Here is a 15,961-nt window from a genome sequence, read left to right as displayed (position 1 = left end):
TGTAAAATAAAAGTCAAAATTGTCTTTTAAAATTGCAATTGCTGAGAAAAGTAGGAAAATTTATACAGCCTGATATCAAAATGTACTATAACGTCACAATAGTCAAGATAGTGTGGTATTGGCCTAAGGATAGCTGCTAGATCAGTGAAATAGAATAGAAGGTTTAGAAATAAACTTACATTTTTTACAGGGCACTTCAATGGAGAAATGGGGAAATAACATTTTCAACAAATGGTGCTGGGAAAACTGAATCCATATGCCAATAAAATTAACTCAAGCCTTTACTTCACACCATACACAAAAATTAAAATGTGTCATAGAGCTGAATGCAGTAACTAAAACCATGGAACTTCTAGATGAAAACATGCGAAAAAATCCTTATGACCTTGAGTTAGGCAAAGATTTCTTGGATATGACACCAAAAGCATTATTAATTTAAAAAATAAATTGAACTTCATAAAATTTTAATTTCAAAAGCACTATTAAATTTCAAAGGCAGCTGGGCGCAGTGGCTCACGCCTGCAATCCCAGCACTTTGGGAGGCCAAGGCGGGTGGATCGCTGGAATTCATGAGTTTGAGACCAGCCTGGCCAACATTGTGAAACCCTGTCTCTACTAAAAATACAAAAATTAGCCAGGCATGGTGGTGCGTGCCTGTAGTCCCAGCTACTCAGGAGGCTGAGGCACGAGAATTGTTTGAACCTAGGAGGTGGAGGTTGCAGTGAGCCGAGATTCGTAGTACTGCACTCCAGCCTGGATGATATTCCGTCTCAAAAGAAGAGAGGGGAGAGAGAGGAGAGAAAAGTGGGGGCAGGGAGATGGGGGAGGGGGAGGTGGGCGGGGAGGAGGAGGGGAGAGAGAGAGACAGGAGAGGAACAGAAGAAAAGAAAAAGGGCAAACTGTAGACTGTAAATAAGTAGCTTATATCCAGAATTCATAGAACTCTTACATCTCAATAAAATAATCCAATTAAAAACGTACAAAAGATTTGAATAGCATTTCACCAAAGAAACTGTAAAACAAGCATTACCACGTAGATGTTCAGCTTCATTAGTCATTAGGAAAAAGGAAATTAAAGTAAAAAACACGCCCTCCCTTTTTTCCTCCAATGGCTATGATTGGTAAAAGTGGAAATACCAATTGTTGGCAAGGATATGGAAAAACAAACTATCGTACGTTGCTGGTGTAAAGAGGAATTGGTACACCCATTTTGGAAAACAGTTGTATATTTCTCAAAATGGTAAAAATAAATTTCCCACAGGGCCCCCAAAATAATATGAATTACTTTTATAGGAGATAAACACATGATATAGCAATGTGAACAGCAGTTATCAGTCAGGCCATTAGTCTTCAATACTTAAAGACTCCTTCCAACTCTCAGCTACTAAGATCCTTTTATGCACAAAGATTTTGACACTAGAGATCATAGAAATAACATTTAATTGTGCATCTAAAGGCATGAGTTTCAGACGCATGTTTAACTTTGGGGAAATTTAGCTAGAAAATTTCCTCAACTTTAAAATCAGAGGACTTGAGATAATTTTTAATCTTTCCACTTTTGAGTTTCTATGAATTGGGATTGAGATTTGACCCGTTTTACCCCAATCTGATTAAGATTCATGAAATAGAATTTTAAGAAAAGAAAAGCATTGGAATTAGAGCCATTACCTGTTTTACCTTAGGCAAATTATTTAAACTTTCTGATGCCTTATGGCCCTTAAAATGCAAAATGAGAGGATTATAAGATTTCATAACTTCATGGTTAATCTGAAGATATTTTACACATTAGAGATGTAGTTGGTTGGTTTCCTTCTTCATATGTCTAGAAAAACTCATTTCATGCTCTTTTCTGAGAGATAGTCAATGGTCTTCAGAAACCCTAAGGACAAAGATAGCCCCAACATGACCCAGAGAGAGGAATCTGAGAAAAAATTTAATTAATCACAAACAAGTTTAAATTTAGTTTACTCACCCAGTGTTCTTAAATGTTCTTTTGGTAACATCTTTGAGGAAGTCAACTCTAGTCGATATTGTCTTTTCAGTGACAAAGTGTCAAGTACCTTATAAGGTGGGCATTGTGTCTTGGATCATTTTTGTAACAAAGTTCCTCTTTCCTTTGAGCTACATTTGGTGATCCAGAGTTTTCTACTCTTTCTCCCTGCTTCTATTCTTTTTGCTAGTACAAAACAATCTGTAGACAAGACAGCTAACAGTTCCTCCAAGTAATTTCTTAACAATAAAAAATGAACACCTCCCAGCGTTCCTGAAATCATTCCTTATATGTCTCTGATTCAAGCACTTTTACCAGGTATCCTGTAGGTACTATTCTGTCCCCACCCACATCAGGAGACACTGAATATGATAGCATTGAGTCACCTAATTTCAGAATCAGCCTAGTCTGCTCAGTGTGTTGATATTATTTCTCACTGTGGCCTTTTTACTATTTACTTGAACTTCTGGTTTGAGATGTTTCCACTCTGTTTGCAACCAGATTTCTAGACTATTTAGACTTTTTAATCCTTTATTCATTGGCTATTGGACCCATCTCTCCATTGTCCTTCTTTGGATCTTACATCTAGCTGAGAATAAGGTGACATTAACCTACTTGGTCTATGTCCTGGCCAGTCTTCAATAAGGAGTTGAGGAGTAAGAGGCTGAATATAGTCTCAGTTTTTTTCACATCCCTGGTTGGTGCCGATTGACTAGCAGCTAGACTCCAGTGCCAGTTGTGACCATGTTTTCAGTGACACTTAAAAGACCATCTTAGATGTGGTATGGGTATCATAATCCTTCCCTCCCTGCCAAACATGTTCATGTCCTAATCCCTGGAAGCTGTGAATATGTTGTTACATGGCAAAGTCGATTCTTTAGATGTGCTCAAGTTAGTGACCTTAAAATAGATTATCCAGGTAGATCCAAGCTAATCATGTGATTGTTAAAAGCAGAAAACCTTTCCAACCTATGAGAGAAAGAGATGTGAAGAAAGAAGACGGGTCATAGAGATGCTACATTGCTGATTTTGAAGATGGAGGAAGGAAATCATGGAGCTTAGGAATGCAGGTGGCCTCTAGAAGATGGAAAAGGAAAGGAAATGGATGCTCCCCTAGACTCTTCAGGAAGGAAAACAGCCTTGGTGACACTCTGATTTTAGCCTATTGAAACCATGTTGAATGACTGCAGAAATGTGAGATAATAAACATGCTTATTCAGCTACCAAGTTTGTGGCAATTTAATGCAGCAATAGATAACTACTAATGCAAAAGATAAAGAGGTTAATATTACTTTTGTTAAGCTACACTTCTTTAATGAAGTTGACTATTATCTTTAATTTTTGTTTTAGAGACAGGCAGTGGAATTATATTATTAAGGATATAAATACGCTTATGGAACAAATTTAGGCACAGGAGAAAATGTTGATGGAAATATTGTCATTAACTATACAAAGAAACTCAGTGTCAGTATTAGGTAATTTAAAGATCTTAATCTTTATCACTCAACATTATATTTTAAAATATATTAGAATTATTCACTGCACCAAGGTGACTATCTCATACAACATCTCAGGGTTTTTTTTTTAATCGATTTATTTTTTTTAGGTTTCACTGACTTTCTCTCCCCCAAATGATTATCATCACTTCCAGCACTACAAAATTATGCCATGCATGTTATTTAAGAACTTCTCAATTAACACATTATGTATATTTTGACTAAATTTGTCATGTGACAAATATTCTTCCTTCCTGACTTTTTGGAGCAAGAAAGGTGGATTCTTTTGTTGATGTTGAAAAATGAATACATGAAAAATTAATTTTCTATCCTTTTTATACTGAGAGCAGCACTTATAATAAAACCTGAACTCTCTGCTAAGGAAAACTAACACCACCATCACTCATCTCCCAAAGTGAAGAAGTGCCAGGGAGCCCTAATTTGATTCTTCTTATAACTGTTGGAGAAAGTTGCCATTTGAAAATTAACTTGATTTCAGAATGAGGCATTGATTTAGAGACAGATAACATTTTTAAAATTTATCCTTTTAATTCTTGAATGAGTAAGGACAATATTTTGCTGTTTATTGGTATAAAACAGCCCTGTCCCAGGTATACAAGGGTATACGTAAGTCTGTAACATCATTAGCTACAGTGAATTTACTTTACTAGAAAGCATAGCAAAATAGGATTAACTAAAGATATATTTTTAATAAGAAAATGCTTTGAAATAACATGAAATCAATGAACATTTGACTGTACAATTTACTCGTCAAAGTATCAACGTATGTCAGCTCATGTATGAATTACACTAGATCATTCTAAACACAGCCATGTGCTCAGGAATGTGTGAAATAACTCATAAGCTATTCTCTAAGGGGGTGTACTGAAAACTTCTAAAAGTACCCCAGATATTTGGTCATAGATAAGAGATATACTTTAAGGCAGCCTTCCAAGTGAATGTAAACTTTTCGGAAGTGGCCTTTCCAGTAACATATTACTATTGTGAATACTCTGTACTTATGTGTAGTGCTGTTGGATATTTTTTGCAGCACATTATCACACTAATCATCATTTTGTAAAAAAAAAAAAAAAAAAGCATAAAAATCTTGCAATTATAAAAATGTCTGGAGTGCTTTTACTCATGAGTGTAAAGCAGGCACTTTCTGTTGACTTATCTGCAAATCCTAAATGTTTTCTCCTTATTTATCTTTAGTTAGAATTGTGTTTCTAATATTGTGTTCTAAATACTGTGTTCGCATATTGAGAAATAATAATTTGCCTAAAATTTGGATAATTTAAATTTGAGTTTAGATTTTCTTTTAATAGGTCATATTCTACAGAAGCATTAAAAATAAATAGTGCTACTCTTTGAACATTTTTCAATATGATGACATTTTTCTGTCTATCTTTCTCCAAAACAGTTTTCAGAACATATGAACTAAACTGACTATACTGGAGAAGTGGATACAGGCCATTATGAGGGTCCCCTTGTCATGACCAATTTGTTTCACTTAATTTCCTTCTTAGCCTTATAACTGGCAGAGACCACCAAGTAGTTATCTGGATTCATGTCCTTTAGAGTTGGAGATTTGCTTTGGATAGGGGATGTTTTGCCATCCACACGGGAGATCTGCAGCATTCGGCAGGGGTCGTGTTTCAACAAATACCCTGCAAAAGTTTCCCAGCCTCCTCCCACACGGACCATGACATGTTTGTTGTGCAGCATCTGAAATGAAAAAATATCAAAAGTGTTAAATTCCGAGAATTCTTACAGTACCTTGAATCAACCCCTGGTTCTAGTGAAATTAGTGTTTTGGTTTGTATTTCATGACCCATTGTTTTTCTACTTGGTGCAAAATGTCTGAGTTAGCATATAGTCTATGAAAGAAGTCCTGTTTTTTTTCTGTGGAAGTGATAAGAATAAACATCTCCAGAACCCAGCTTTGCTGTGCTATGGGAACCAGCACCTACGTATAATTCTTTGGTTTAATGTGTCTGGAGGCTTCTCTCTGACATCTGATCTTCTATTACAGTTCTTATTACTGCCTCTGGTTCCTGCCTACTGACTCAGCTTAGTGCTCCATTTTTCCCAGTGGGTTATTCCCCTCTGAATCAGGATTTTAAGGACCATGGAAATGTCTGCTACTGAATTACAATGCTAAGAGTCAGACAAATACTCAATACAAAATAACATTGAAAGTGCACTAAAAAAATTATTGGAGTTTTCCCCAGTCATTGTCTGAGCCCTTGAAGGCAAGGTGTTTTTGAATAGGCAAACATTTATGTTTTTCTTTATTCTTTTTCTTCCTAATTATCGTAGAATATGTCTTTTAAAACAAACAACTTACCCCTAGGCCCAGGAGCCATCTAGAGCTCCAACTTAACAAGGTTATTGATTTAAATGTGAAGAATGCATGATTCTTTGTATCTAGTAAAATATATCATGGAGGTTTGACATGGAAAACCAAATAATTTGTCATCGGCTTCTTGCAAATATCAGAAAATTTAATATTAAGAGGTAATGTTGCATGATCATCAAAGACCCTGCTGACTCCCTCTCCTGCCCAAAATGTTATGGATACATACGGGCACTGTAATGTTGGGAAGAGGATGTGATTGTGAGAGAAAGTCTGGGAAGTCACATCATAGAGCCTATAAAATCTGTTTCAATTCTTCTTACTTGGCGTCAGCTTGAGATCTAGACTTTTTTTTTTGACTCCCAGCCAGTGGGAGATGACTTGTATTCTTACCACTTGTTCTTACCACTTTCATGTAGGTTTTGATAAAGGTTTTGGACCTGCTTTCTATATGCCTGTATCTAAAATTTCTCCATGTGTATTTGGGGGTTTCACAGAACTTCATTTATGTGGTTGACATGAAGCAGTTTTCAAAATCAAATATTGTACCAACTAATAAAAATTTAATGAAAAATAGTAATTAAAGCTATTTGATTTATAAGAATTAAATGTATTTCTACTGGTTATTCTCATTTAGAGTATGAGAAATTTAGAACAGAAAGTGAAACCAGCACTACTGTCCCATAGAAATGATGTTTGTGGTTTCTTTTGAATAAATATAGAAATTGACCCTCCCAGTCTTAAAATTTGGGAAAATTACAGTTGTCTTATTTGAGTTCCCTTCTCAGGAAACCAACCATCAGGCCTCCCAGATAGTATCAAGGAGCTGAAACTTACCAGAACACCGCATCTGGACAATGAGACATGAGACCCCTCATCTGTTGTGATCGCCTAATAGACCATGTGCTTCCTGTTGACCAATTCCTCTTCCTTACCCTTCCCTAATTCCTGTTTTCATGGCTACATTTCTTCCCTGCTATATAAACCCTTAATTTTAATCTATTAGGTAGATGGATTTGAGACTGATCACCTAGCTCCTTGGCTGCAGCACCCGAATAAAGCTTTTTCCCCTGGAAATACTCAATGTTTCAGTGACTGGCGTTCTATGCAGTGAGCAGCAGGACCTAGACAGAACCTCTGACATTTCAGTAACAAAAGGACCTTAGAACACATCTTCCAGCTGGAAGTCTTCAAACTTATTTTAGCATCAGAACATACTCATTAAACAAAATCTCAATGAGAACCCCTGAAATATAAAGCAGATAAAAAGAGGATTTAGCTTGTAACTACTTTGCCTTTCCTGGCCCTCCCAGTAGTACTGAAATTGGCTCAAGTGTCGCATAGAACTAATATTTACTTTTAAAAATAAATATGGTCGGGCGTGGTGGCTCATGCCTGTAATCTCAACACTTTGGGAGGCCGAGGTGGGTGGATCACCTGAGGTCAGGAGTTTGAGACCATCCTGACCAATATGGTGAAACCCCATCTCTACTGAAAAAAAAAAAAAAAAAATTAGCTGGGCATGGTGGCAGGCGCCTGTAGTCTCAGCTACTCGGGAGGCTGAGACAGGAGAATTGCTTGAACCTGGGAGGCAGAGGTGGCAGTGAGCTGAGATCGTGCCACTGCACTCCAGCCTGGGTGACAGAGTGAGACTCCATCTCAAATAATAATGATAATAATAATAATAAATAAATATGGAAATTGACCCTCCCTTGTCTTAAACTTGAAACTTAAATTGGTCTTATCTGAGTTTCTTCCTCAGCAAACTGACCTTTAGGCAAGGAACAGATGACACCAGACAATTAAATGCCAGACTCCTTGCCCCTCCCTAAAATTCCTGTTTTCCTACATGTAGCTACATTCCTTCCCCATTATAGAAACCCTGAATTTTAATTGATTGGTGAAATGAATTCGAGACTGATTTGTTCTTCTTGGTTGCAGCACCCAAATAAAGCCTCCTTCCCTGGCAATACTCATTGTCTTAGTGATTAGCTTTCTATGTAGCAAGCAAGAGGATCTAACCCATGGTGTTTCGGTCACAGTACCATGTTGTTTTACATATGTAGACACTGAGAACCAGATTTTAGGACCCAAGCAAATCAAATCAAAGATCTGGTTCTCAGTGTACGCCTCTGTAAAACAAGAACCTGACTGGAGTCAGGTTGGACTGGAGCCAGATTCTTAGCACCTGACTCCAGTCTAGTCCTTTACTCATGACAGCTTTCACTAAAGAAATAAAATCACTAGGGCTTTTATAATTTCATCCACATATTCATATTCCCACAAGTTTCTGCATGTGTCTTACTGCCAGCTTCCAAAATTTGAAGTCACTGGGACAAAAACTGCCAAGGCCAGTGTCAGAATAACACTTTGATTCTTTCTACCACTGTTCGAGAGAGCAACTTTGCCTATTTTGAAGTTCTGGCACCTCCTAGCTCTGCAAATTACATTTAAGACTTGCCTCCAAACATTCTTGGTATCAATGCCCCTGGCAAAATGCCCAAGTCTAATTCAGTGTTTGTGAGCAGGCCATTTCAACCAGAAAGAACCACCAGTCACAACAGTTTTTAAACAATTCTAGGAAGCAGTGACAGAAACACTTTTCAGCCTGGAGTATGCTGGCCATTTAGGCACATATTCAGTTTGCTAATTTCTTAATGAATCCATAGTACTTTGCAAAGTGGATACAGCATGAAACAGAGTCCCATACTGAATATGAATAATACAGGAATTAAATTTCTGCTCACTTCCTCTTCCACATCCTTTCTACTGCAGATGTTGGTTTCAGTCCAATATTCTTACCACAGTCAATAGGGGAGGATTAGCAGGAAATACTTTTACAATGTATCTAGGTTTACTTTCCTGCCTTTGTAAGAGGAGTCTAATGGACATAATTGTATTTTTGTGAATAACATCTATCTCCAAAGTCTAGCTTTATCATGTGAAGGTTCCTTTGATAAGAGCTATAGTTGGAGGAGGCATACATCTTTGTTGATTGATTTTGTGTCATTGTGAGGCGGAGGGATATATTTGCTGTTTTCTCATTTTGAAACCCGAATCTAGGTTTTTCATGAGATTATCTCATCCTTTTGAAACTTGCCCAAGTGTCCCATAGAACTGATGTTTATGATTTCTTTTGAATAAACATAGACATTGACCCTCCCAGTCTTAAAATTTGAGAAAGTTAAAACTGTCTTATCTGAGTTCTTTTCTCAGAAAATCAATCATCAGGACTCCCAGACAGTGTCAAGCAACTGAAACTTACCAGATCATCACATCTGCACCATGGGAGCCAGACCCCTCACCCATCATGATTGCCTAAGGGACCACCTGCTTCTTGTAACCAACTTCTCCTCCTTGCCCATCCCTAATTCCTGTTTTCCTACACATAGTTATATTTCTTCTCTGCTATATAAACCCCTAATTTTAGTCAGTTGAGATGGATTTGGGACTGATCTCCTATTACAGGCTGCAGCACCTGAAAAAGCCTTCTTTCCTGGCAACACTCATTGCCTAGTGATTGACTTTCCACGCAGAGAGCAATAGGACAAAGACCAAACTGCTGGTGTATTGGTAACAATTTCCCTTTGACTGTTGTTCTGTAGGCAGTAACTGGAGAGGTGTTTTTCTCCAAAGGCGTGAGCTGACCTCCTTCCACTCCCAGGCTTTTAAAGGAAATAATGAACAGACAATTTATAGCTACATTTTAAAAACATGTTCCACAAAATTAGAGAATTGTTTTCCTTTTAGAAACAGATGCAACTTCCTTTAAAACATCTTACGTGAGACACTGCCTTATACGGACACCTTAAGAATGGGACATTACTAATAGTAAAATCAGATATCAGAGGTTTCTTTCTCTTGGAAGATTTCTCCTAGGTATCAGCCTTAGTAGTTTGTTTGGATTTTCCAATTATTGCAAAGACAGTTTTATATTTTTCCTGATCTTCTCTATGGACCTAGTCAGTGCTCTGCAGCTTGGGTCCTTATAAATTTATCAGAACTGTAAAATGCTTCTCTCTTGCTTTGAAGGAGTCGTTTTTTCTTTTTTCTTTGCTTTTCTGTTTCTAAGCTACACTGAAAAAAATGAAAACATACATAAATACACTATTGCCTTTCACTGAATGCTTCCTTGATGCTGTATTTGACAAGGGTGTAAGCATCCATGATTCATGTACTTACCCATAATACTTAAAACAGAAAGGACTTTCTACATCTTCAAAGAAGAATATTGATTTCATATTGATGAGGAGTAATTGTGGAATCCATTACCTTTCCTCATGCCTCATTTTGGCTACTCTTGGGAGATGGAAGGGTTTTAGGTCAATATTATGAGGTTTCCACAGCAAACCTTACAACCTCTCTCCATGAAATAGGTGGCCCTGTCTGGGGATATACTCTAGTAAACAGATTTTCAATTCTGAGTTATTCTTGCTGACGTCTCAGTTAGACCTTGCTAATTAGTAACCTATAATTTGCTAAGAAAGCCAGTGGCTAAGCTGTTTGAAGGTTTCAAGCTTGGGATTAAGATATTAGGGTCATACAAAAGATAACAAGTGTTGGCAAGAATGTGGAGAAAAGGGAACCTTTACACATTATTGGTGGAAATGCAAGTTAGTATAGCCATTATGGAAAACAGCATAAAGATTCCTCAAAATATTAAAAATAAAGGTACCATGTGATCCAGCAATTCCACCACTAGGTATATATACAAGCGAAATGAAATCAGTATATCAAAGTGCAGATATCTGCACTCCCAGGTTTACTGCAGCACTATTCACAATAGCCAAGATATGGCGTCAACCTACATGTCCGTTAATGGATGAATGGGCAGAGAAAATGTGGTTTATATACATAATGGAATACTACTCAGCCATAATACAGAAGAAAATCCTGTTGTTTGCAACAACGAGAATGAACCCAGAGGACATTGTGGTACATGAAAGAAGCCAGGCACAGAAAGATAAAAATACCATATGATTTTGTCGGAGGCATGTGAATGAGAGCAACTCCATCTTGAATAGGGGCTTGGTAAAATGAGGCTGAGACCTACTGGGCTGCATTCCCAGATGGTTAAGGCATTCTAAGTCATAGAATGAGATATTTCACAGGATAAGTCATAGGATCAGATATAGGATAAGGTCAGCACAAGACACAGCTCATAAAAACCTTGCTGATACAACAGGTTGCAGTAAAGAAGCCAGCCAAAACCCATCAAAACCAAGCTGGCGATGAGAGTGACCTCTGGTCATCCTCACTGGACACTCCCACCAGTGCCATGACATTTTACAGATGCCATGGCAACATCAGGAAGTTACCCTATATGGTCCAAAAGGGAGAGGCATGAATAGTCTACCCCTTGTTTAGCATTTCATCAAGAAATAATCAGAATATGGGCAACCAACAGCACTCAGGGATGTTTTGTTTATGGAGTAGCCATTCTTTTATTTCTTTACTTTCTTAACATACTTGCTTTCACTTTACTCTGTGGACTTATCCAAGAATCCACTCTTGGTGTCTGGATCCAGACCCCTTTTCTGCAACAATTTCACTCATATGTGGAATCTAAAGATGTTGATCTCATAGAAGTAGAGAAAAGAATGGTGGTTACTAGAAGCAGAAGTGGTTGGTGGGTGAGGGTGATAGGAAGGTGTTAGTCAAAGGATATATAATTACAGAAAGATAGGAGGAATAAGTTCAAAAGATTTGTTGTACTGCATGATGACTATAGTTAAGAATGATATATTGTATTCTTCCTTAATTAAAAAAATGCAAAAAGAGTGGATGTTAAGAGTTCTTGCCACAAAAATGATAACTATGTAGGTAATACATTTGTTAATCAGCTCTATTTAGTGATTCCACAATGCATATGTACTTTAAAACTTTACGTTATACATGATGAATACATATAATTTTATCTGTCAATTTAAACAAATACATATGTAAATAGAAGAGGACCCATATATAAATTCTTTTTTAAAAAAGATATTACTGTCATAGAGATTTATAGCTCTGATTATAGAGATTAAAATTCCATGCTTTTCTGGTATGTGACCGATCTAAAAAAAAAAAATTGAACACTCACCTCCATCTCCATAAACCAAACTCCCACTGTTTAACCTAAAAGCAAATCAGCCTGCTATTATTATTTAAACTCTTCCCTCCCTTTCCCTAGAATGCTTGCACTACAATGAGCTTTTCCAGCACAGATGCTGAGCTGGTTTAGAAGGAAGATTATATACTTCATCCAAGAACTCTTCCATCTCACAGATTAGTGACATCAGGCCAATTGCAATTAAGTGATCCTTTTAGTTTTGGTCAGCTCCATTTCCCATTTTTATCTATTATTCTCAAACACACTACTTGTCCCCACCCTCCATCAGCCTACCAATGACTTCACCTTTATCAAGCATGCATCCTCTCTTGACACCTCTACTGGCCAATATACCTGAATCTACACTTATCATTTACTCCACCTTTCTTATCTCAGAAGTTCTCCTGTCCAAGTTCAATTCCTCCCACTATGTTCTAACTCTCATTAATTTCCACTCTTACTTTCATACTTTCTCCTTACATCTGACCTTCTTGATAGTTACATTCACACTTGGTGTCTTCACTTGCTCATCACGGTACAACCTACAGTACACTTTGCTTCTGCCCTCTACCTCTTAACTGACTGCACAGAGAAAGGAAGCCAGACGGCTTCTAATGTATCAAATACAATATATGGTCCTTAAACTTTATTTTTCATGATAACTTTGTCAAGCAAGGTATCTAATGATATTGCCCACTCCTTCCTTGAAACTCCCCACTTCTTGACTACCTGTGACAAGTCTGTCTCCTGAATTGCCTGCTACCTATCTCATTGTTCTTTCTCTGCCTCCTTGATAGGTTACATTTCTTCTACATTGTTAAGTTTTGCCATTCTAACATATTCTGTCCTTTGTCTACTGCTTTTCTGACTCTAACCATTCTCTGTTTGTAACCTCATGGTTTTCACTACCACCTACTTTTGTTTCCCAAATTATAACTCTAGCCCTTGCTTCTTCCCTGATGTTCAAAACATCACCCCCAACTGGAAAATCTTCCATGGTCATCTCCTTCCCCAGATAAGTGAATCCTTCCTTTCTGTGTACTGTTTAGTTTCCAGGTGATTTCACTGTTACATGCATCTCACAATATTGCAATTGCTGATTTACCTGTATGTCCCTTTTCAGAATATGGAAAATCTTCCATGTTCATCTCCTTCCCCAGATAAGTGAACCCTTCCTTGCTGTGTACTGTTTAGTTTATACATGATTTCACAGTTACATGAATCCCACAATATTGCAATTGCTGATTTACCTGTATGTCCCTTTTCAGAATATGTGAGCTCTCTGAAGAGAGGGATGATGTAGTCTTCATTTTTGGAATCTCATATATGCAAACTCAGAACAGGGTCAATACTGTTATCATATAATACTTCTTTTCATTTGATACTTCCACAGGTTGTACCTACTTTATCTAATCTATAATGTCATTATCAGTATTACTCCTTTTATAGATAGGAATACTGATGCTCTGAGAAGTTAAGCAACTTAGGCAGGATCACACAACAAATCAGTAGCAGAACTGGGACAAGAATCCTTTATTCCATTAAAACATACCCACATATTCTGCAAAGTGCTAGATTTTGGTTTTCACCCATGCTTGGTTACTTATCTGTGATAATTCAGCACAGGCAAGATATCACTAATATCAGAAGTAGTAAGTAGTGTAAGCAGATTAACTGTGCTCATTTAAAATGATTCATAGGCTTATGTCCTAACAAATCTTAAATAAACATTAAATTTAATTTCAGAAGATTATCCTCAAGTAGCCCTAATTATTTCAGAAGAAAACGTGTCTAGTGAGGTAACACGACGGAATACACTAGTTATCTGTTGGCATAAGTAAGAAGGGGCTTTGATTTCTGTCCAGTGTATATCTCACTGGTTTTTTATTTTAATGCTTCACAGAGTTGAACTTTGTGTTCTTCATTCTAAAAGGTAGCGGCTCTTGACCAGTAGCATCAATGCATATGTCAATTGAGGAATGGTTGTGCAACACGTAACAATGAGAACACATTCTGAGAATGTGTGTTAGGCAATTTCACCACTGTGTGAACATCATAGAGTGTACTTACACAAAACGAGATGGCACAGCCTTCTACACACCTAAGCTACATAAGATAGCCTGTTGCTTCCAGGCTACAAACCCGTACAGCAAATTACTGTACTGAATACATAGGCAATTATAACACATGGTAAGTATTTGTGTATCTGAAGATATCCAAACATAGAAAAAGTACAGTAAAAATCTGTATTAAAATCTTACAGAACCATTCTTATTGACTGAAACATTGTTATAGAGTACATGACTATATTGAATATCGAGTATTTAGTCCTATGTTGGTGTTTGTTATTTTTCTTTATTTTTGTTGTTGATAAGAAATAAAAGAGTTGCTACAAATAGCCTCCAACACTATAAGTTGCAAAGCAGTAGTTTTTGCATGTTAGGTTTTATTATGGCTGTCATCATTTTTAACAATTGGCTTCATTCCTTACTGTGCCTCTGATCATAGCAAAGTCAAGGCGATCCATTACTGACTTAAGCAACATTTCTCAATTCTGAAGGGGGAAAAAAAAGACCGTGACCAAAATCTTAGCTCAGCTTGGGTTTTTTTTTTTTTTAATACTTTAAGTTCTAGGGTACATGTGCACAACCTGCAGGGTTGTTACATATGTATACATGTGCCATGTTGGTGTGCTGCACCCATTAACTCCCCATTTACATTAGGTATATCTCCTAATGCTATCCCTCCCTCCTCCCTCCACCCCACAACAGGCCCCCATGTGTGATGTTCCCCACCCTGTGTCCAAGCGTTCTCATTGTTCAATTCCCACCTGTGAGTGAGAACATGCAGTGTTTGGTTTTCTGTCCTTGTGATAGTTTGCTCAGAATGATGGTTGGAAATTATCTCAGCTTTTATCCCAGTGTCCCTAATGAAGCTCTATAAGCATACTCAGGCTGTTGCAAACACTGTAAATCATTTCTTTGTTTCTATTAATGATACACATTCCTTGTCAAGAGGAAAGAATCAATATGTCTCAAAGTTGTCTTTTTGCTTTTTTTTTTATATTTTCTCTCAGTAATGAGAAGAAACACTCCCATTCTTAATCAAGAGCATTTTGTTTCATGACTTTGTCTTACTGTGATGCTTAATTATGTGTTTTAATTAGAAAACCTCTTCATATGTGACAGTAAGAGGGAAAGTGTTTCCTTGAATGACATAGAGTCATACAATAGTAGAGTGCTTACTATGTGCCAAGTAATCTACGAATATGCCCTGTTGAAATTAAGAGGATTAAAAAGAAACATCGAGGTCACTGGCAATGTTGCACAGATGCACAGTCTGAGAGGTCACATAGGTGGTTCACCAGAGCCAGGCTAGAAACCACATCTTTATTCCCCATCTAGCATATGACCTTAGAATTAAGGAGCTGTGTTATTTCAAAAATTATTTTCCTAATAATGAATGCAATATTTAATGGTCCGTGTATCATTTAATATATTGATACAGCAGTGATTTATTACATCATGTCACGTAAGTCACTATCTATGTTTTACTGAATTGAATACACATTTTTGAGACCTTTTAATTTTATTTTCCTAACATTAAATAATAAAAAAAAAAACTATCCCATGCCCCCACCCCAATCAAGTTTCTTAGCTCATCCAGATACTTAATCCAAAGGGGAAAAATAAGTTGAAATGAAATAAGTTAACTTTCCCATGTTAACTTAGAACATAATGAAAATTTCGTAAGTTGTAGAAATGATCAGTCAGCAGCTTCCTGTGGGTCTTGGGGAGGTCACTGCAGTATCAAGGGGTCTAGTGCTCTGGCTTCTATGATATGTGATAACAGGATTTCAGAAAGGAGTTTTTTTTCCCCTGTCTCTTAGTTATGTAGTTTAGCAAGACAGGCTGGAATCACATTATATGGAGGTAAGAACTTAAAGCAATAAAAAAAGAAGAATGTCTTTTCCTTTTTCTTGGGAACATTTGTGTTTAGAAACAAATATATCAACTCGCTTT

General features: G+C 37.1%; 1 protein-coding gene across 16 annotated transcripts in view; it reads right to left on the bottom strand.

Annotated features, from left to right (window-relative positions):
• Positions 1 to 3,956: 3,956 nt before the first annotated feature.
• GAS2 (growth arrest specific 2) overlaps positions 3,957 to 15,961 on the bottom strand; it is a 187,054-nt gene continuing 175,049 nt past the window's right edge. For 9 of the 16 annotated variants that reach the window (NM_001391937.1, NM_001391934.1, NM_001351224.3 and 6 more), the window contains one exon: positions 4,011 to 5,214. In NM_001391937.1, the coding sequence (NP_001378866.1) occupies positions 4,996 to 5,214 (219 nt within the window). In that variant the 3' untranslated portion in view covers positions 4,011 to 4,995. Of the gene's footprint in view, positions 5,215 to 15,961 lie in introns of all 16 variants that reach the window. The other 7 variants (NR_147085.2, XM_047426745.1, XM_011519972.4 and 4 more) reach the window with 1 other exon arrangement.

This window comes from Homo sapiens, chromosome 11, assembly GCF_000001405.40.
Source record: "Homo sapiens chromosome 11, GRCh38.p14 Primary Assembly".
NCBI lineage: Eukaryota > Metazoa > Chordata > Mammalia > Primates > Hominidae > Homo > Homo sapiens.
The sequence above is the reverse complement of the archived record's forward strand: the minus strand, read 5'-3'. Positions and strand labels throughout refer to the sequence as shown.